Source organism: Homo sapiens, chromosome 3 (assembly GCF_000001405.40).
Source record: "Homo sapiens chromosome 3, GRCh38.p14 Primary Assembly".
In the NCBI taxonomy this organism is placed as follows: Eukaryota; Metazoa; Chordata; class Mammalia; order Primates; family Hominidae; genus Homo; species Homo sapiens.
This window is the reverse complement of record NC_000003.12, coordinates 170,507,601-170,529,192: the sequence shown is the minus strand read 5'-3', so window position 1 is coordinate 170,529,192 and position 21,592 is coordinate 170,507,601. Positions and strand designations below refer to the sequence as shown.

Below are 21,592 nucleotides of genomic sequence, written 5' to 3'. Positions count from 1 at the left end.
GCTAGCTGGGTGGTATCTTATTTACTCATGTGGTTCTTTGTTGTTTATATTGTCTGACTTTTCTGCAATAGATATGCGATGTTTGTGTAAAAAGAGAAATAATAAAGGCCAAGCTTTTCAGGGAAAAACAAAAATAAACCCTCTCACTTGCAGTGTGATTTGGCGTCCACTATCTCTCATCCCAGGCTGCAAGCTCCATGGGAGCAGGGACTATGTCTTTGCATCTACAAGCCTCACGCCATGCTTGGCACATAACAGGTGTTCCTTATATGCTGGCTGAGTGGAAATAAATAGACACGTGGATTCATGTCCCCACAAGACCTCAACCAAAGCAGTTGTTCTAGCGGCCTTCTCGGTAAACATATGGTATATTTTCTTGCCAATACGAAAATCTTTAGAAGAAGAAAGAGGAGAGGAGGAAGGGGACGTGGAAGGGAGGAATGCAGACACTCTAGCCTGTTAAATATCTCTGGCGTGTTATCCAACTATAGTGATATCTAAGGTGTTGTCAAGAATAAAAACACAGCACGAAGCCACACTGTCAAAGCTAGGAAAAAATTAAACCAGAAAGGCTGTCACCCAAACCTGTGAACCAAACAGCCACATTTCACCTGATTCTTCTAATTAGCGTTTGAAAAGCCTTTAGAAGCAGACAAGTGCTACATTAAGTGCTTAGTATTCATTAATACTATGAGTAGATGAGGTAGGCAGGTACTTACTGATTATATAAATGTCCTGAGCTTGTCAGTACAGTATTTGGAATCAACGTCTGGCTATACTTCAAAAATTCTATACATTTATGAGTTTTATAAATTTTATACAGTTTTTATAAATTTTCTCCAGCTTCCGGCTTCCAAAGAATGTAGCTTCATATATTTGCAGTTCCTAATTTACTAAACTTTAGAAATTACCTAACACTGTAGTTCTTAATTCTATCAGATCCAACACCCCTTTTTATAATAAATACTTTGTCATACCTCCTTTTAGTATCCTGAAGTGAAATTATTGATCATCTACCTATATACAACATATTTCAGTGTGTAAATACCCAGGCATATCCAAATGACGGTGTCAAATGCTTGCACTATGTGAAAAATCACCGCAAACGTGCCAGTTCCAGATGGCAGGCTGTTCCAGGGTGCAGCATGAGAAATGCAATACCACGGGTGGCATTCCCATGGGGTCCTTGGTTTTCTGAAAGGGCAAACAACTCCTCTTAAGTTCCAAACTAAATACATTATAATCTTCCTTTGATTTATTCTATAGTTGTATTCCTGGAAAATTCAATTTACTTGTATATTAAGGCTATCCAAAATATCCTATGAGTTTATATGTAAAAGAGAGTGAGTTGACAGGCTCAGATCATCATCACCAGGATTTTTATCTACAGGAAAGTCAAGCAAAATATCTAAAAGTTGTGTGACAACATCCTACACAACTCACATCTCAGGTTCCCCCCAGATGCCAGGAGTACTCCCCACCATTCCAATGTTTGAGAGTAAAAAAAATTCCCAAAACATTTTTTATTTCATTTGGGAGCCAAGTGCCAAAATAACCCATGGGGTGGCATGGCCCCTCTTAAGACTCATGGATCTAATTTTACATTTTTATGTTAAAAAACATGTAGATATCATGTCCCCTCAAAATATGCCCAAGAATCACAGACCAAGTATTGGCAAAGTAAGAGGTAGTTAGAGTTGAGATGGATGAGCACTTTCCATACGCCAGGCATTTTCTTAAGCTCCTTATGGACGTCACTCATCTAATCTTCACATCAACACTAGGAGAGAGACTTTATTGTCCCATTGGACAGCTGAGACTGAAACACAGACATGGCTTACCCAAGACCACAGAGCAGTAAGTGGCAGAGCTCTAACTCAGACCATCCTCATCAGGATGACTGTGCAACACAGTGCACGCGCCGGCAGTCCTTTAGGACTGGAGAGAAGAGCAAGGAGAGTGGAACCATGGAACCCTTCCGTGTTATGAGCACACGGGTAGACCAGTTCTACCAGTTCAGGACATTAACCTCCAACCATCCCCGCAAGTCAAGGTTTGTTTCTCACTCGGTCTCATCTTCTGCTTTCTTGTGTTTTTCCTGCAGACATTCATGCCCAGGAGAAGGCTGCACTGGGTCCCTCTGGGCCTTTCCTAAAAGGGAGATCCCTGTTCACTAGATGAGTTCCAGAACCATCCACTAAGGCTTTGTAGCCCCCTTCCATCAGCTGACCTTCACTGCATCCCCTATCGCTCAAGATGAGTGGCTTCTTCACCTCGCTGGACCCCCGGCGGGTGCAGTGGGGAGCTGCCTGGTATGCAATGCACTCCAGGATCCTACGCACCAAACCAGTGGAGTCCATGCTAGAGGGAACTGGGACCACCACGGCACATGGAACTAAGCTAGCCCAGGTACTCACCACAGTGGACCTCATCTCTCTTGGCGTTGGCAGCTGTGTGGGCACTGGCATGTATGTGGTCTCTGGCCTGGTGGCCAAGGAAATGGCAGGACCTGGTGTCATTGTGTCCTTCATCATTGCAGCCGTCGCATCCATATTATCAGGTAAGTGTCTCCATGCAGGGAAGTACTGTGGAAAGTGTGCTTACCAGCCTGGTCACTGTTCATCCCCTTTCTCCGGAGTATTTAGTGGTGAGATGTATGAAGTGGCAGAAAAGTGGATCATCATGCTCTTTTTTGCCTTGACTGCCAGGGAGGTTAGGGCCAGGTTTTGACTTAATTATAGTAGCTTCCTTTTTTTTTTTTCTTTTTCTTTTCTTTCTTTCTTCTTTTTTTGAGATGGAGTCTTGCTCTGTCGCCCAGGCTGGAGTGCAGTGGCATGATCTCAGCTCACTGAAACCTCCACCTCCTTGGTTCAAGCAATTCTCCTGCTTCAGCCTTCTGAGTAGCTGGGATTATAGGCGCCCGCCACCACGCCCGGCTAATTTTTGTATTTTTAGTAGAGACGGGGTTTCACCATTTTGGCCAGACTGGTCTCAAACTCCTGACCTCAACTAATCCACCTGCCTCGGCCTTCCAAAGTGCTGGAATTACAGGCATGAGCCACCGCGCCTGGCCTTCTTTTTTGTTGTTGTTGTTTGTTTTCTGGGTTTTTTTTTTTTAAACAGAGTCTTGCTCTGTCGCCCAGACTGGAGTGCAATAGCGCGATCTCGGCTCACTGCAACCTCCACCTCCCGGGTTCAAGCGCTTCTTCTGCTTTAGCCTCAGCCTCCTGAGTAGCTGGGATTAAAGGTGCGTACCACAACGCCTGGCTAATTTTTGTACTTGTAGTAGAGCCAGGGTTTCACCATGTTGGCCAGGCTGCTGTCGTACTCCTGACCCCGCACTTTGGGAGGCTGAGGTGATCCGCCCGCCTCGGCCGCGGCAAGTGCTGAGATAACAGGCGTGAACCTCCGCTCCCGGCCTATTTTTTCAATACAGAGAATTATTCTGGTTCTCATACACCTCCCAGCTTCTCATTCCCTGTCACGTTCTAATGGCTCTGTTTTTATTTTAACTCTCCTTTACACCGGAAGATAGGTCAATCCTCTTGAGGGACAGTGGAAGGATACAGCTAAGATATAAATAATAAAGATAGGCAGAGCAGCAAAATGACAAGTCAGTAAATCTGATATGATTGGGATTTGATAAACCTCAAACTGGCATCGAGCCCCCAAGGAGAAGGAAGCCAGGCCAGGAGATTTAAAGCCCTTGTGAGAATCACAATGCGCCATCTGCCACAAACACCTCCACAGATTTATAGTCCACAGAGACAGGTCCACTAGCAGCTCCTTGTCTCCCCTTGAGAAAGAATCATAAAACTCATTTTTAAAAATAAGGTGCAAGGACTCACATGCCGATACTTTGTAAAAATGGCTCTCCTATTGCCTTTTCCTCTTCCTTCCTTTTCTCTTGAGTAGCAATCTACGGTATCTTCCCAGAATTGCTGGAGTAGGCCAATGGACAACTTGAGAAAGGAAAACCTCCGGCTTTTTGCAAAAGCATGAGGCTTTTCTGGGTTTTAGGGTGGCAGATCATGTGGGCCAACCCATGTACTGACAGCAAATGTCTTGGTCTCTTCGAATATTTCAGGAGAAGTGGGAATTCTAACTTATATTGGGAATTCTGTGTACCAATGCGTGCTATCATAAGAAAAGCATTACATTAATATCATACGTGTAGAATAAATAGTGCTCACATAGGACACAAAGACAGACTACAAGCATGCAACCAGAAAGTGTGCTGGTTTGTATTTAACGTCTCTTTAATTTGATAAGGAAAATAAGCTGAGTTTATTAACCTCCTGTCATGTCTTCTCTTTCCTGTTGGTTTTACCATTTATCCCCTTCTCCTGAAGTTATCCTCTCATAAGCACTAATACACTAATAGTTGAGGTTTCTTCAGAATTGAGGAGTTTTCTCTCCTATTGATGAAAATAAATTACTCACATGGATGAATTTTGGGAATACTTGCAATTCTATTAATGTGATAGCAATTACCTCCAAACTTTTTTGACAGAGAAATTGACTCACCATGAGTTTCTAGATCTAAACATGTTATCATGTGGAACAAAATGTGGATAGTAGGACAAAAGGCAGCCATATACCCAAAGGGTTCCACAGAAGGCACAGGGCCAGTGCATCAGATTAATGAAGACTACACAGTTTTCAATAGATCTCATCCATTTTGACCCAGTCTCCCAGACCACAGTGATTTTTGTGAATGAATTACCTGTGTCTTATTCTTCACAGGATACATTACATCTGGAAACCAGAGCCTGCCACCTACCCCCATCACAGTGCTCATGAGCAGTATATAATCTAGACTTTTCCACTGCTCACATGGAGAGCCTGAAATTGGTCCAGACTGTGTTATGCTGGAGCCAGCTCACACCAGCTGCCAAGAGTACTAATGGTGCATACCTCTTTCCAGCTTTACATTCAATGATGTCATGCTGTTAACTTGGCATCAGCTATGGAGGGCCTATGTGTTTGTTGTTGTTACCATTGTTCAGAGAATTAGTTGTTAAACCTTTACCAGCACATCACTAGGCCACCTCCACTAAAGACCCTGGTCCTGCCCAGTAATTGAGGCCTTCACCACAGCACCAAGCACAAGAAGAAAAAACCCTACCTCTCCCCAAAACAGGATTCCTCCTCTCCACATAACACTTCTCTATACTGTATGACTGACTTATCTAGCCACTGAGGCCATTTGGAATCCTCCCAGAGCCCCTAGTCAGGCCAGGACCAAAATATCATAACTTATGCCAATGTTAGCATATTTATAGCAGGTTTCTTCAAGCAGGCCTCTCACTCTTATGATTGTTGGTCACTAAACTAAAGGAAGTGCTGCTCCAGTGTCTTTTTTCCACTTTCACATCATCATCCCCATATTGTTTCACCTTTGGCAAAACTTCCCACTGCTTCTCCATACAACAATAATCAAACTCTCCTATATCTTCATCCTTTTAAATACACGGTCCTTTTCTCCTTCTGGTCTTAATTAAAACCTGGCTCACCTGAGGGTGAGTCCAGTCTCCACAACTGCACATTTATCTCCAGCAATAATTGCTGCTTAGTTGCAAGAATGAAGTAAAGAGAAAGTTGAGATTAACTTAGATTTAACTTTTTCCAAGCAGAGGGAGAAAAAAGTAATGGGGTTAAGAGTGTTTTCAAAGGAAGACTAAACTGTGCTGAATCACATAATCTAGGCTGAATAAGAAGGGAAGTGAAACACAAGAGTGACGATGACTCATGAAAAGTGGTGGAATCGGTAGAAATTGGAATTGTCAATCAGGTCAAGATATCATTGCAATAAAAATACTGGGAAAGTTAGACAGAAAGCTAGGAAGTGATGGAAATGATAAAGAGTGGGATGTTTGAAATAAAGATTTCAGAAGTAGTATAGCAATCAATAACATTCAGTTTAGACTTGAAACCTGGTTCAGCCACTGACTAGCTGTGAGACCTTGAGTAAGTTCCATAATTTCTCTGAACATCGGTTTCTCCACTTTAAAAATAATAATACCTACTTCAAAGGATTGTTGTCAAGACTAAAGGAGATGCATATTAATTGCCTGGTACATTGCCGAGCACATAGCACTAAATAAGTGGTTTTTATTATTTTGTGCCAAACCCTAAATTAGGTGCTTTCCAGAGAGTGTGGCCCTTAAAACTCTTTATCTCTTTAAAGTAGGTTTTATTATCTCCAATTTCACATACGTGGAAAATGTGTAAACCGAAGTTTAAATGACAGAACCCACATTCAAATCTGTTGATAGATAGGTTGAGAGATAATGTCAACAACTCTCAACCCTGGCTATGGGTTTAAATCACTTGGGAATTTTTTTTCTGTAATAATGAAAAATGGATGTTGGAGTTCAGTTTTATTGAGTTATAATTACATATCATAAAATGCATCCTTTTTTATATACACTTCTATGAGCTTTAGTAAACACATATAATCGTGTAAGCTTCACCACAATCAAGATGCAGAAGAGCTCCATCACCTCCAAAATAATTTCTCCAGGCTGCCTCTTTGTAGTTAATCCCTCCTCCCACTCCCAGCCCCTGGCAACCACTAATTTGTTTTCAGTCCCTATCGGTTTGCCCTTTCCAGAACATTATGTAAATAGAATCATTCAGTATATAACCTTTTAAGTTTGCTTTCTTTTGCTTAGCAAGATGCATTTGAAATTCATTCATGTTGTTGTGTGTATCAGAAGGTTGTTCCATTTTCTTGCTGAGTAGTATCCCATTGTATGGCTCTACTACCATTTGTTTATCCTTTTACCAGTTGGAGGACAACTGGGTTGTTTCCAGTCTTTGGCCGATGTAAATAAACTCACTGCAAGTATTTACATGTAGGTTTTTATATAAACACAAGTTGTGGTTTCTCAAGTAAGTACTTAGGAGTGAAGTTGTTAGTTTATATGGTAAGTGAATGCTCAACTTTATAATAAATAGCCAAGCTTTTTTCCAAAGTAGCTGTATTATATTTGACTTGCACAGGAATATGTGAAAGTTCCAGTTCTTTGCCAGCACTCAGAATTGTTAGGTGTGGTTTTTCATGGTTGTTTTGTTTTTTGTTTGTTTGTTTGTTTTGCCATTTTAAAAGGTATATAGCAATGTTTCAATGTGGTTTTAATTTGCATTATGCTAATTACTAATGATGTTGGACATCTTTCTATGAGTTTATTTGTCATCCATGTGCTCTCCTTGGTAAAGTGTCTATTTAAATCTTTTGCCCACCCCCCACCTTTTTCTTTTTTTTTTGAGATGGAGTCTTGCTCTGTCTCCCAGGCTGGTGTGCAATGGCACGATCTCGGCTCACCACAACCTCCACCTCCCAGGTTCAAGCGACTCTTCTGCCTCAGCCTCCCGAGTAGCTGGGACTACAGGTGCATGACATCACACATGGCTAATTTTTGTATTTGTAGTTGAGACAGGGTTTTACCACATTGGCCAGGCTGGTCTCGAACTCCTGACCTCGTGATCTGCCTGCCTTGGCCTCCCAAAGTGCTGGGCTTACAGGCATGAGCCCACGCCTAGCCCTTTTGCCCATTTTGTAATTAGGTTCTTTATTTTCTTATTAATCACTTTTAAGCATTCCTTATATATTCTAGAGACAAGTCCTATATTAGGTATGTATTTTTGCAAATACTTTCTCCAGTTTGTGGCGTGTCTTTCAATTTCTGTTTATCTCTTTTTAAAAATACTGATGCCCAGGCACCACCTCCAGAGTTTCTAATTCAATTGGTCCAGGGATTGGAATTTTTAAAGTTCCCCAGGGAATTCTAATTCTAATTACTTTTGCACCAACATAATGGAAACTATTTGGACAGCACAATCTTAAGAGAGTTTTTGGCCTTGCCGCACCATTCCCCATGCTATGCAAACCAGCTTATAACATGAAACAAATCTGACTCACAGAGCAATCTATTTTCTTTACAATTTGTCAAGCTGGGAAGTTATAGCAACTTGCCAAGCTCCTCCCACTAGTCCTGCCCCAACGTTATAATTGCCCACTGCCCTGTCACAGGTGGAAGAAAACTTATCAGAGGAAGCAGCTTGTGCTTTGTCCAAAAGGTCTTATCTACTCTTCAATAGCTCAGTAGGCCACAACCAGACCCCATAGCCATGCCAAACCTAAAAGCCCTTTTGTATATTGCAGATTGTATAAACTAGATAGAGGAAATAGGTTTCTTTTCATCATGGTTCCCACCTACAGCCTTTTGGAGAGACTGAAGGGTGGAGGCAGGATGGTTTACAGAGGTTCTCTAATGTAGTTGGCTATGGATGAAACAAAGCAAAGCCATCGTGCCAGTGACATCCAGCCATTCAAAGCCCCAAGAGGCTCTTATTTGAGTAGTGGAAGAGAGGCAGATTAAACTTTTTTTCTAAATTTATATCCAGTCCTCTTTTAACATTATTAAAATTGTTCCTCAAACAGAATATAGGTCTGAATCACTCCTAAGTTCATACACTGTCTATAATAACCCTTCAAGCCCATTTCCCAAATGTTTTTGGTAAGGATTCAACAACAGTATGCATACACAGCATCAGTCCTTTCCCTGGTACACAATACTTACAATTTTTGTCATCTACTCATAAGAAATGTTTGGCAAAAATCTAATAAGATAAGGTTCAGTAAAAATGTATTGGGCTCCTACCATGTATCAGTCCTGAGACAGTACCAAAAATAGGCAAGAAATTGCCTCTTCTCTATTTCCAAAGGACCCATTGCTATTGGGTCCCATTGCTCATTGATGGAGATGAATGCTAAATCTGATAAGTGACTATGGCAATAATAGTCATAACAATGTAATGGTCATAGTGGCAACTACCACTTATTGAGTACCTACTTTGTACCAAAAGAGTTCTAAGTGCATAACCCATTATTTTACTTAATCTTCACAAAAACCATATGTGACAAGTGGTGTTACACTTACTGCATATTACAGATGAGAAAACAGAGGATTCTGAAAGGTTTGGCTCCTTTGCTTAAGGCTCCTGCTTAAGAGGTGACAGCGTAAGGAATGGAGTGAAAGCAGTCTGACTCCAGAGCTCACTTTTTAATCATTCTGCTACTCTGCTACTGTATTAACAGATTATATTACATTCAATTGCAGACAACAAAACACCAAAATAAGGGAGAATTTCATTTCTGTCCTGTGTACAAGAAACCTGGAGAGAGGCTGCTCTTGTGGCCTCTCAGACATGGGGACAGAGGCCCCTTTATTTTTCTGCTGTGCCAGTCAGACATTTGGCTTCCATTGCAAGATGACTCAAGACCAAAGACGGCTGCTGTAGCTCCAGTCAGTATGTCTGAGTTCCAGAAGGCAGAAAGAAAAATGGAAAGTTGGGGCAGGTGATTCCTTACCTTTCGGTCCTCTTTTTTTGTTTGTTTGTTTCATTTTTGAGATAGAGTCTTGCTCCGCTGCCCAGGCTGGAGTGCAGTGGCACGATCTTGGCTCACTGCAACCTACACCTCCCCAGTTCAAGCGATTCTCCTGCCTCAGCCTCATGAGTAGCTGGGATTACAGGCACCCACCACTATGCCTGGCTAATTTTTGTATTTTTAGTAGAGACGGGGTTTCATCATGTTGGCCAGGCTGGTCTGAAACTCCTGACTTAGGTGATCTGCCCGCCTTGACCTCCCTAAGTGTTGGGATTACAGGCGTGAGCCACTGCGCCTGGCCCCTTTCTGTCCTCTTTTCAAGAATCTTTCTTATAAGTCCTTCCCCATTTCTCCCACTGACATTGGCCTAAACTTGGACATCTGGCCACAGCCATTGAGGCTGAGAAGTATAGTCCTCTAAATGGGTATATTGCCAACTCCAGAATTACAGAATTCTGTTGATAGGAAGGAAAGGAAAAGCTGGCTGTCACTGCCACATCTATAAGGCATGCAAAACCCTGAAGCCTTCCAGTTTGCTGAGGTCAATTTTTTCTGCAATATTTAAATAAAATTGGTTCTGATTCCCAATTTACGATGGGAAGATCTAAGGTCCCCCTCAGTAAATCTAGGGAGTTGTGAAGCTGACCTTCCACTTCACTATTCTGGCTCTAAGTCTCTGCTTCTACAGAGTCTCTGTTTCCACTTTGCATTTTACCTCCTACCTGCTGTCCCCTTTCTTTATCATCATTATCAAACTCATCTCAAAAAAGCGTCAGTAATGCAAGATTGTGTGTGCCATAGACTTTTATGGAAAGTTTGGACCAGAGATGGGAGATATAGTACAGTCAATCCCAGCAAACAGCAAGCTCACACTTGAATATAGGACACTCCAATTCTCTCTGCCTTTAGGGAACATCCACCAACCCTCTCTTCTTCTTGGCACCAGCTTTTAGCCCCATGGATGGGCAGCCTTTCTCCCATAACCTCACCGTCTGCTCTGCTCATTTTTAAGCTCTAAAACTCTGTCCATATCCTACCAAGCAGTTATTTCTTCATCACCCTCCAAGTTCATCCTGGTCATTCTCCAAAGAATATCTTTCCCCAACCAAAATAATTTATTGAGATAATTCACTAAACAAAGAAGGTTCTCAAAGGAGGGATTTGGAGGCCATGCCGGGAAGGTTAGGTATCATTCTCTAGGCACTGAGAAGTTCAGTAACATGACCAGATATGTACTTTAGTAATACAGTGGAAAGAGAATGGAGGCAGGGAAGCTGTTATGCACATATTGCACAAAACATACAGGAGATATGAAGTCCTAGTCCCTGAAAGGCCAAAAGGAAGCTTAGGATGAAGAGAATTTGGGCGTGAGTAGATGAGGGACAAGGAGGGAGGGCAAGAAAGGCTCTTTCTAGCCAAGAAAAGACATATAATAGAGAAACTATTGAAACAATGTCATTAAAATAATAGATTTTACAACACAGTTCTGGTGCCAGAAAGTGAAAGTAGAATCAGAAAACTCTAGCGAAGAAGACCACCACAGAACACCACGAGGGGTCTAGATCTCATCTTTGCGTGTAGCACACCATGGAAGGCGCTTTCATGTAGCACCTCCTTCCCATCTTCATCAACCCTGTGGAGGGAGGGATGACTTTAGTTCTGCTCTACAGATGAGGAACCAGAGTCAGAGGTTAAAGGAGCTTCCTGAAAGTCCCACAACTATTTAGTGCCGTGCCAGAACTCAAATCTATGACTGTAGGATTCCAAAGCTCATGCTCTGCCATTTCAGCGAGCTATCTCTGAGATCTTTGTAGCCAGAAAATCTTTCTCATAGTTGTGAATTAATAAATTGTGATCAGTTCCCATTGATTGGGTCTAAAAGGCAATGAAGGGTCATCACACTGAGCAATATTTTTCTCGACACCCTTAGTTTATGATTTGGCATTAGGGTTTAAAATTTGTGTTTCCTGCCATCCTCATTTGATCTTTGGCACCTCGTGATCCATCATCAGGCAAGCTCATGGTAATGGAATCCCTAGGGAGGAGGTAAGAGAACAGAGAGCAGAGCTCTGTTGAGCAGATGTCTCTCCACAGGTTCCCAACCTCCTCCTGGGCTGGTTCTTGCAAAGCTCAAACATAGGCTCCCCATTCCAGTATTCATCTTGGGTTTGAGTTTCATGATCAAAGAAAGATTTCTAAAGACTCAGTCTATATAGTCTGACAGGTTCCCTTGTTTTATCTTTCAGAACAATAAATGATTTTCCCTCCTCAAATTGAAGACAGCCTTGAGAGGTGAAACAGGAGGGTTGGTCCTTTGCAACTCCTCCGTGATCTAGGATTAGTCATTCATTCCACAGCTTGCATTTGTTTGTTCCCTGAAACACCTCTGGAAACTGCTGTTAACAACACTGGGGAGTGGAAGAGGCAGAATATTGTGAGGACAGGAAGGAAATGCAAAGATGAACAAATGCATGCCAGTCCTCAAATCTCTGAAAGACTAGCTGTCTCAAATGTCCCAATACACAGCCATATGTCAAAATCATAATAATGATGCAGCCACTCCTGATGCTTATAAAGTCTCTAAGATATAATTTAGCAAGCACATGATAAATGTTAGTTCATATTATTATTACTATCAGTTTTATTGTTATTAGGCAAATACTGTGCAGCAGGCACTGTGCATACATTATCTCATTTAATTCTTTCAATCTTCCTATCACGTGGATATTAATGTCCCCATTTTATGATTCATCATAAAACTAAACAAGCAGTTTTGCTGTGCCTCACACTAGCTGAAAACCATTTGCATAATCCCAAAAAACCCTACAAAATAAATGCCATTATCATACTTATTTTGCAGATGACAAAACTCAGGCTCAAAGAGGTTAGGTGACTTGTCCAGAGCCACAGGGTGGTCAGTGGCAAAGGCTGGGTCTAAATATGATTCAGCCTGCTTCCAGAGACCATGACCCCCATGCTGCTTCATACAGACACAAACTTCCAAATTTATTATTTATTTATTTATGTTTGAGATAGGATTTCACTCTGTCCTCCAAGCTGAAGTGCAGTGGCATGATCATGGCTCCCTGCAGCCTCAAACTCCTGGGCCCGAGTGATCCTCCCAATTCACCCTCCTCAGTAGCTGAGGCTATAGGTGTGCATCACCACACTCAACTAATTTTCTTTCTTCTTCTTTATTTATTTATTTTATTTTATTGTTATTATTATTTTTTTTTTGTAGAGACAGGTGTCGCTGTGTTACTCAGGCTGGTCTCAAACTCCTGACCTCGAGCTATCCTCCTGCCTCAGCCTCCCAAAGTACTGGGATTACAGCTGTGAGCCACTGTGCCTGGCCCACCCCTAAATTTAAAAACTCACCAAAGAGAACCAAATGAATCAAGGAACGCTCACGTTTATTGGGGTTTCAAAAGACCCTGTACCTCACCCTATTGACTAGCAGAGCACTTTTCCAGATCAAAACTTCTCTAAGTCAGGTCATGAAGATGACTTGTAAGCTCAGCATCTTTCTGTCACCTGTCAGCAGTGAGGAGAAAGGTGTTGTAAAGTTCATGTAGCTCTTCTATATAGGGATCAATTGACAGCCCTGTAGGAAGGATGTCAGTTAACCAATTCAGAGAAGGTGAGCACATTTTAATAGAAATTTGCAAGTTTCTTAAATTGCTGATGGTGATAATGAGTTTCCTCCAGCAAAGCCAGGAAAACCTGGGCTTCTTTTACATCTTCTGCAGCACCTAGTAGTGTGGACAGTGCATGCCATGAGCACCTAGCATGGCTGTAGGAGGGACTGACCACCTTCTCTGGGCCCAGCATAGCAGGAGATGCTGCAGAACATGGGAAAGAACCCTGAGACAAAGGGCTTGATATCAATATGAAGAAACAAGATGTGCACACGTGAAATAATTGTGAGTGCTGCAAGAGACAATCAGGCCTGCGTCAGAAGTCGGGACACCTGAGGTCTGATTCCAGCTCTCACCCTCAGCAGTCCAGGGCCCTCAGGCAAGTCATTCACATGTCCTGATCTCAGTTTCCTCCTCTGAAAAATGAAGAGTTTGAATTAGATTGCCTGTCTCATTAGTTTGCATGAAAAACAACCAAGAGAGGGGAAAGATTTGTAAAGAAGGGCCTATTGTCTCAACTCCCCCCCCACCCCAACACACATCCTAACCCCAGCTAGCATCTGGGAGCCAGGTGCAATTAGTCCCTGTAGCTGAACTGCCTCAGTTCAAGCCCTGCTTTGTCATTTTCTCCTTGTATGACTTGGGAAATACATTTAACCCTAGAGCTTTCCAAACAGGTTGCTGAAAGTTAGAGGTGTGCCAAGATATGGATCCTTCAGCTTTAGGACACCTGGAAAGTGATATAGGCCCCAGGCTAGTGAGCAGCCTCGCCCTTTTATACATTACAACCTTTCCATATCCATAATATATATATACATATATATATATTTTTTTTTTGGGGGGGGCGGACAGAGTCTCACTCTGTCGCCCAGGATGGAGTGTAGTGGCATGATCTCAGCTCACTGCAGCCTCTGCCTCCCAGGTTCCAGTGATTCTCCTGCCTCAGCCTCCTGGGTAGCTAGGATTAGAGGCACATACCACCCTGCAGGGATAATTTTTGTATTTTTAGTAGAGATGGGGTTACGCCGTGTTGGCCAGGCTGGTCTAGAACTCCTGACCTCAGGTGATCCACCTGCCTCGGCCTCCCAAAGTGCTGGGATTACAGGCATGAGCCACCGTGCTTAGCCCAAATATTATTTTCAAGGTGGGTTATGTGATATGGAAAAGGTTGAGAAGTCCTGATAACCTGTTGAGATCTTGGATTCATCATCTGCAAATGGAAATTATAACAGTTTCTGCATCATAACCATCTTGTGAAGATTAAGTTTTTGTATGTAAAGTGCTTAATATGCCCATGCACATAGTAAATGCTCAGTAATGTTTGTATTATTATCACCACTACCAAGAGTATTGGCCAGTTTCCAACCTAACAAGACTAGGTTCTTAGTGCAAATGAGTAGTCCTGGTTCCAATGCTGAAGCTCCTCAGTCCGCCGCTAGCAAAAAAATGGGTAGACTTGCCTCCTACTCACTTTCCTCCAGATGAACCCTGTGCAAAGAGCACGCTTTTGACTCTGAAAGTATATGCCCAAGAAGAATTCTCTTCTCTACAGGAACAGCCTCCTTTAACAAGGCTATGCCTTAAAACACATTGTTAATAGGCTGTGCCTCAAAACAAGTAAATCAATATGTATAATAATTACAAACAGTGACGAGTGCTATAAAGGAAAATAAACAAGGTATCATGACAAAGTACTTTTTCTGAAGAAGTGATACTTAAGCAGCCTCAACTTTGTGCACTGAAATAGATGCTAGAGATGCAGAGATAAGTAAGGCATGGTACCTGCCGACAGCCATGGGATAAACACCTGAGACAGGAATGTTGATGAAAACTCATGAAAAGGAGTTATGCCAAGCACCAGCCCTTGCCCTCAGAGGTCTGCACAGCAGACTTTCTGAGTGGAGTCTAACTCGCTGATCACAGCAGCTCAGGAGCTTTGCATGTGCCAGGCCATCTACTTTGAACACTCTGGCCCACTCCTCATGTTGCTAGTTCACAGAGGCTGCAGACAAGGAGCCACGGCCACCCCAGGGAATCAAAAAGCTCCTGACACTTGCCCTGGCAAGGAGGTGAGATCACCAAAGCAAGGGGTGCAAGGAGAGAAAAGAACTGAAGGGAGAACTTTGTTAAATGACTACACACAGATGGAGATGGATAAATAAGAAGCGATGATGAAGAAAGAAAAGAAGTGGGCAGAAGAAAGGGAGTGAAACCAAAGGAAGAACAGATTCTTACACAAGGGAACAGAGAGGGAATGAGTGTTTGCATCACAAGCTGCAGGGACACTGATAAAAGGCCATTCTGTTGACAGCTTGTGGGTTAGAGATGGCAATTTCTGGGGTGTGATGAAGGCCAACACCACAGTGCAAAGGGAAGCATTAGCATGGAGAAGAGCAAACAGCAAGCAAGAGAATGGATCCTTTATTTAACAACCCAACGAATGCATTTGTCCTGGACACAACCTGTGCCTGTGCCTTGTTAAAAGTCATGAATATGTATGTGAAAAGCAATTATTTGCTAACATGCAACATAGACATTTTATATACTATTCTTCACCACTCGTCACTCTCATAGATCTGGCCCTGAAAAGTCCCTTGCAAAGTAATTGAAAATATATATATAATGTATACATTTACATATGTATGCATATACACATATTTGCACAAATATATCTGTAGACCTTATTAACTCTTTAGACATTTCCCACTTGGAATAAATTCAACAATAGCCCTTGGCTATATTAATTTCTCTTGAGAGTTTGTTTATAAATGCCCTAGCTTATCATTTCTTTGACTTCTAAAGAAAAATAACCAATATAATGAGTTTCTCTTATATGTGAAGTATAGATACAAACACCTGCTCCTTTGAAAACATTTCTAAGATTATTTTAATTAGGAGAGTGCTTATGTGGCAAAATACTATAAGCTCAGCCAAGGGCACTTGCTATTTTTCTTGGTGGGAAAGCCTCTTTCAAGAAGCCCCCCAGTGTATCCAAGGGAGTCACTATTCCATTCACTGGAGTTCTCTTGTTCAAAATTTAGCTCAAAACTCACCATTGCTGTTGCATTCAGTAGGAGCTACTTAGCTAGAAACAATCCATCAGGACCACGTAGGTGAGATTCTTCGGAAGAACAGTAACCCATAACCCCCATCTTTGTCAGCTGTGCACAGAAGACACTGCGGCCACAGTTTACCCAGTGCATGCCAGCCTTCCATCCTCATAGACCAGCAGCAGGTGGCAACACTCACGCCATAAAATGCAAATTGTAGATCGAGACCATCCCGGCTAAAACGGTGAAACCCCGTCTCTACTAAAAATACAAAAAATTAGCCGGGCGTAGTGGCGGGCGCCTGTAGTCCCAGCTACTTGGGAGGCTGAGGCAGGAGAATGGCGTGAACCCGGGAGGCGGAGCTTGCAGTGAGCCGAGATGGTTCCACTGCACTCCAGCCTGGGCGACAGAGCGAGACTCCGTCTCAAAAAAAAAAAAAAAAAAAAAAAAAAATGCAAATTGTACACATGTGCCCTATAGAAGGCTGAATCCGCCTAGAGTTCTGAGGTGTGGGGGAGTAGAAAAGGGGAGAGGAGAAGGAAGGAGGTAAAAGTGGTAGAAGTTTGTATCACAGGATAGGGGAGAACCAGAAGTAGGCACTGTAACCGAATCCATCTCACCAAAAGATTCTCTCCTGCAAGCCTCCTAAATTCGGAGTCTCTGGCCCTGTTCTTCCCCTCCCTGTGTGTTGGCATCCCTGTCATGAAGGGTCTCTCATGTCTTTGGGAAGGCCCCCCAGAGAGAATGGGTGCAGGCCCATGAAAGATTTGCTGTGGCTCCCCCTCCCTAGTCATCTTCTGAGAATGTGTCCCCTCCCAGTGGAACCCCCATCTCACCTGCTCCTCATCTGGGCTGGGGAGGCCACGTGAGGGCTCAGGTGGGTCCTCTCGGCACTCACCTTGAACCCAGCCCATTGTAATCTCAGGGCAGGGGGTATGGCTGATCCCCCACAGAATCTTCTGAGATCTGTCATCTCTGTTGGTGCCACTTTCACCTGCTTTAGAAATGGGACACTGCCTGCTTCCTGAGAGTGATGAGTTGAGAAATATTCGGGTAGGAGAGAATTGTTGGTTGTCACTTCAGCTCCAAGTCTCCTTTCCTTTTCTGCACAAAGCCTTTTTAGTCCAGTTATAAGAGTCCCCTGGATGAGAGACAGTAGGTCTCACAAAGAGAGGTTGAGTGAGAAAATGGGAAACTTCTATTCACCCTCACAATTTCTCATTGCAGTTGTGGAACAGAACAAGAAGTTTCTAGATTAAAGATTTCAAACCTAGGAAGAAACTTCTCCAGGTTCTGTTTTAGAAGTGCATTGAGCACACCTAGGGCTTGGTCTAGACTCTGGATGATTTCTAACCTTCCTACCAACTCTGAGACTCTAAAACTATCAGCCAACAATACTTGCTTCCAACCTGTTTTATCCCACTCTGAGGCAAAGGCTCCTGTATAAATACTCCACAGGCTACTGCTAAGTAAAGCTCTCTGGGATTCCTCTTCCTCGTCAATGAATAATGGCCCTAAGCTCCCACTGAAGGAGTACCTAACATATGTCAGGAACTGTAACACCTGTCCTTCGATGACTCATAACAACCTGCATAGTAGATATCACCATCACTATTTTCCAGGTAGGGAAACAGGGTCAATGAATTGGGTGACCTGCTCCAGACCACAGAGAGCAATAATTTTATTTGTCCTTTTTTTTCTTTTTTTTTTAAGACGGAGTTTCGCTCTTGTTGCCCAGGCTGGAGTGCAATGGCATGATCTCGGCTCACCGCAACCTCCACCTCCCAGGTTCAAGCGATTCTACTGCCTCAGCCTGCCAAGTAGCTGGGATTACAGGCATGCACCACCACACCTGGCTAATTTTGTATTTTTGTTAGAGATGGGGTTTCTCCATGTTGGTCAGGCTGGTCTCGAACTCCCGAGTGATCCACCCACCTCAGCCTCCCAAAATGCTGGGATTACAAGCGTGAGCCACTGCACCCGGCCTATTTGTCCTTTAGTAAGCACTTACTTAGTATGCCCAGGCACTGAGCAAAGTGATCTGTGTGCAACATCTTACTTCATTGTCATAACCACTCTCTGGGTCTCTCTCCAGAGGCTGTGTGAATTCTACGACACCTCACTCCCTCTCCTAAAATAAGAAGGGGCTGCTGATGCTGGCCTCGGCATTCTCTCCCAGGTTGTCTGAGCATCAAATGTGAAACCACGTACAGTGAGTCTAGCATAGGTAGATGCCAAGAAAACATGCGCCTTCACCTTTCCCTTTTGTAGTGACTTTTTCCTTCCAAGGTGGCCTTTGATGATAACCTGAAGCCACCCACATAAAAATGTTAGGAGCAGAAAAAAGGACAGTTCCAGCCCACTTGCCGCTTCAACAATGAAGAAGGACCAATCTGGGCCAGAAGATTGGCTTGGGGCACAGATAACCCTGTGGATTCTTTAGTTGAAAGTAACCACATGAGCATCATCATAACCATCATCATCAATTACCATCATCATTATCATTTGATAAAGCAGTCAAGTAAAATAATGTATGCTGATGATGATTATTAACAATAGCATGACCAGACAAGATAATACTTGAATTCCTCATATTATAGAGACTGTACCTTCAATAACCTCCAAAATATTTTCATAGAGGGAGATCTAGAGAAGAGAGTAAACAGATAGGTTGGTTACATTCTTTATTTATTTATTTATTTATTTATTTTTTTTTTTTTGACAGAGTCTTGCTCTGTCACTGAGGCTGGAGTGCAGTGGCACAATCTTGGCTCACTGCAACCTCCGCCTCCTAGGTTCAAGCAATTCTGCTGTCTCAGCCTCCCGAACAGCTGGAATTACAGGTGCCCTCCAACACGCCCAGCTAATTTTTGTATTTTTAGTAGAGACAGGGTTTCACCACGTTGGCCAGGCTGATCTCGAACTCCTGACCTCAGGTGATCTGCCTGCCTCAGCCTCCCAAAGTGCTGGGATTACAGGCGTGAGTCACCACACCTTGCAGATTGGTTACATTTTTTTTTTTTTTTTTTTTTGAGACAGAGTTTTGCTCTTGTCCAGGCTGGAGAGCAGTGGCGCGATCTTGGCTCACTGCATCCTCTGCCTCCAGGGTTCAAGTGATTCTCCTGCCTTAGCCTCCTGAGTAGCTGGAATTACAGGCATGCATCACCACGCCCAGCTAATTTTGTATTTTTAATAGAGACAGGGTTTTGCCATGTTGGTCAGGCTGGTCTCGAACTCCCGACCTCAGGTGATCCACCCACCTCGGCCTCCCAAAGTGCTGGGATTACGGGCATGCACCACCACGCCCGGCTAATTTTGTATTTTTCGTAGAGACAAGGTTTCTCCATGTTGGTCAGGCTGGTCTCGAACTCCTGACATCAGGTGATCCACCCACCTTGGCCTCCCAAAGTGCTGGGATTACAACCATGCACCACCACACCAGGCTAATTTTTGTATTTTTAGTAGAGACGGGGTTTTGCCATGTTGGTCAGGCTGGTCTCGAACTCCTGACCTCAGGTGATCTGCCTGCCTCGGCCTCCCAAAGTGCTGGGATTACAGGTGTGAGCCACCGTGCCCGGCCAGTTGGTTACATTTAATCAACAAATTATTAAACTTCCTTGACCTGTTTTGGGGGGTGACTTCTCTGACTCAAAGGACAACTTATTTCCTACCTGTTTATATGTTGATATATTTGGGGCAGTGGTTTGGCAGACTTGGGAGTTCTCTATTCCCTACCCAACTTTAATTGGAGCCCTGTCAGGTTCAATAACATGATGTCATACACCCCTGATTAATGATGCTGCCTGTCCCCTAAACACAGGTGGTTACTGTCCACCTGGCGCCTGCTTGGGCAGAGAAATCATAAGTCTCTTCTTAGACACAAAGAAACATAGGCATTCCCAGACAAATTGCTTTTCCTTCAGACACCTTTGTAAAAATTGCCTGGGCTTCCCTGACAGGTGATGGAGTGACCGAGGTTGCTCAAGTAGAAGAGACAGTAGCAGTGAGGCTGAAGGGACAGAGCACCTGACCAATCACTCCCTGAAAAACCCACAGTTTTCGTGGCTAACCAAGGGCATCGGGAAGAGGACATCAGTGCAGGTTCACTGGGTCCAGCCGCATATGACAGGGCCTGGATAGATGTTTCTCAGGACCCAGCAACCTGCTTCTCAAGACAGCAATAATGGGGACACTGCATTACCCACCATATGGAGCTCAGTGTCACAGAGAAAACAAATGTTTCTGAGAGAATTCACACTTCATTTCTCTCTGAGGTCCTGTGATTTCTCTTCATACCCCACTCCCCATCTACATTTAGGCAGGACTAGCAACAATAGCTACATATACAGCATGCCTTAGCCCCGCTGCGGCTGCATAAACGGAACAGAGATGTTTTAAGAAAAGTAAGGAAATCAGAAGAAAATAAGTAACAACTCAGCAAAATGCTGTATTTGGTGAGGACTTTCTTACAGACATGTTTGGGCCTAAGTAGTGAATTTCACCAGCGTAACCCAACGGCTGATTCCATCCTGTGTCTGGGAGATGGCAGATAGTTGGCACTTGGGAAGAATTGACTTCATGGATGAGAAATCACTGACCTCATCCATTTGCTAGATCAGCCCACCCCAACCTTCCTGCCTACCCAGTGTGAAGTATAAGACACAGTATGCGCAAAATACCTAATAGGGCCTGATATCAGCAACCTATGGCCCACTCAAGGCAGCCTGACCGAACCTCTGAGCAACGCTCCAGTTGTTGCTGATCCCAGAGGCCTGCATGAAACTGTAAAGTTGGCAAATTGTTTTCTTGGACACCTGCCTCCACTCCCTCTCATAATTCTTGATAGCCTCTTTCCTTTTGGACAGTCTTTCTGGTTGGTTGGTTTTCTGGTCTGTTTCCTCCATGATACTATAAGGCCCACAAAAAAGAGACTGTATTCTTCCTGTTCACCTTTGAATCCTTAAAAGCTGATATAGATACATAGAGATGATCCCTTACCAGTGCATGGGATAAATGAATGAGTGAATTAGAAAGCTGCTAAGGCTGGATATCAGGAGACCTCAGGTCTAGCCCAAACTCTGCCATTAATTGAATACGCAGCTTCAGATCTGGAGCTCAGTTGCATCATCTATAAAATAAAAGAACAACTCTGATGAGCAACTGACACCTCTTCCCATTCCCATGCTCAGTACAGCCCTGGGGGTCCACAGAGGAGGGTGAGGGGCTTTGGGGAAGTATGGGATGAAGGAGACCTTGAGCAGACCAGCCTCGGTTCTCCCACCCTTCAAACGGAGCCACCTGCTTTTACCTATTTATGTATTGGGCTCTCAAATAAGACTGTGTGTGGAAAATAGAGTTCTACAACTAAGAGAGAGCTTTAAACTATACAAGTAGATGAACTGTACAGTCCTTTTCAGCTAGTCCACTCGTCTGTTAAAAAGGTCCCACCCCCTCAATCACTTGATCTCAGTCCACCTCTGCAGGCTCATCTTCCACAATCTCGAAAG

At 43.4% G+C, this 21,592-nt stretch overlaps 1 protein-coding gene and 1 long non-coding RNA gene across 3 annotated transcripts in view; one reads left to right on the top strand and one right to left on the bottom strand.

The window, feature by feature from the left end:
• Positions 1-21,592, top strand: part of SLC7A14 (solute carrier family 7 member 14) — a 126,528-nt gene that overhangs the window by 56,883 nt on the left and 48,053 nt on the right. The window contains exon 2 of the mRNA NM_020949.3: positions 2,105-2,560. Within this exon, the coding sequence (NP_066000.2) occupies positions 2,257-2,560 (304 nt within the window). The 5' untranslated portion in view covers positions 2,105-2,256. The remainder of the gene's footprint in view (positions 1-2,104; positions 2,561-21,592) is intronic.
• SLC7A14-AS1 (SLC7A14 antisense RNA 1) overlaps positions 1-21,592 on the bottom strand; it is a 287,921-nt gene that overhangs the window by 226,013 nt on the left and 40,316 nt on the right. The window lies entirely within an intron of this gene.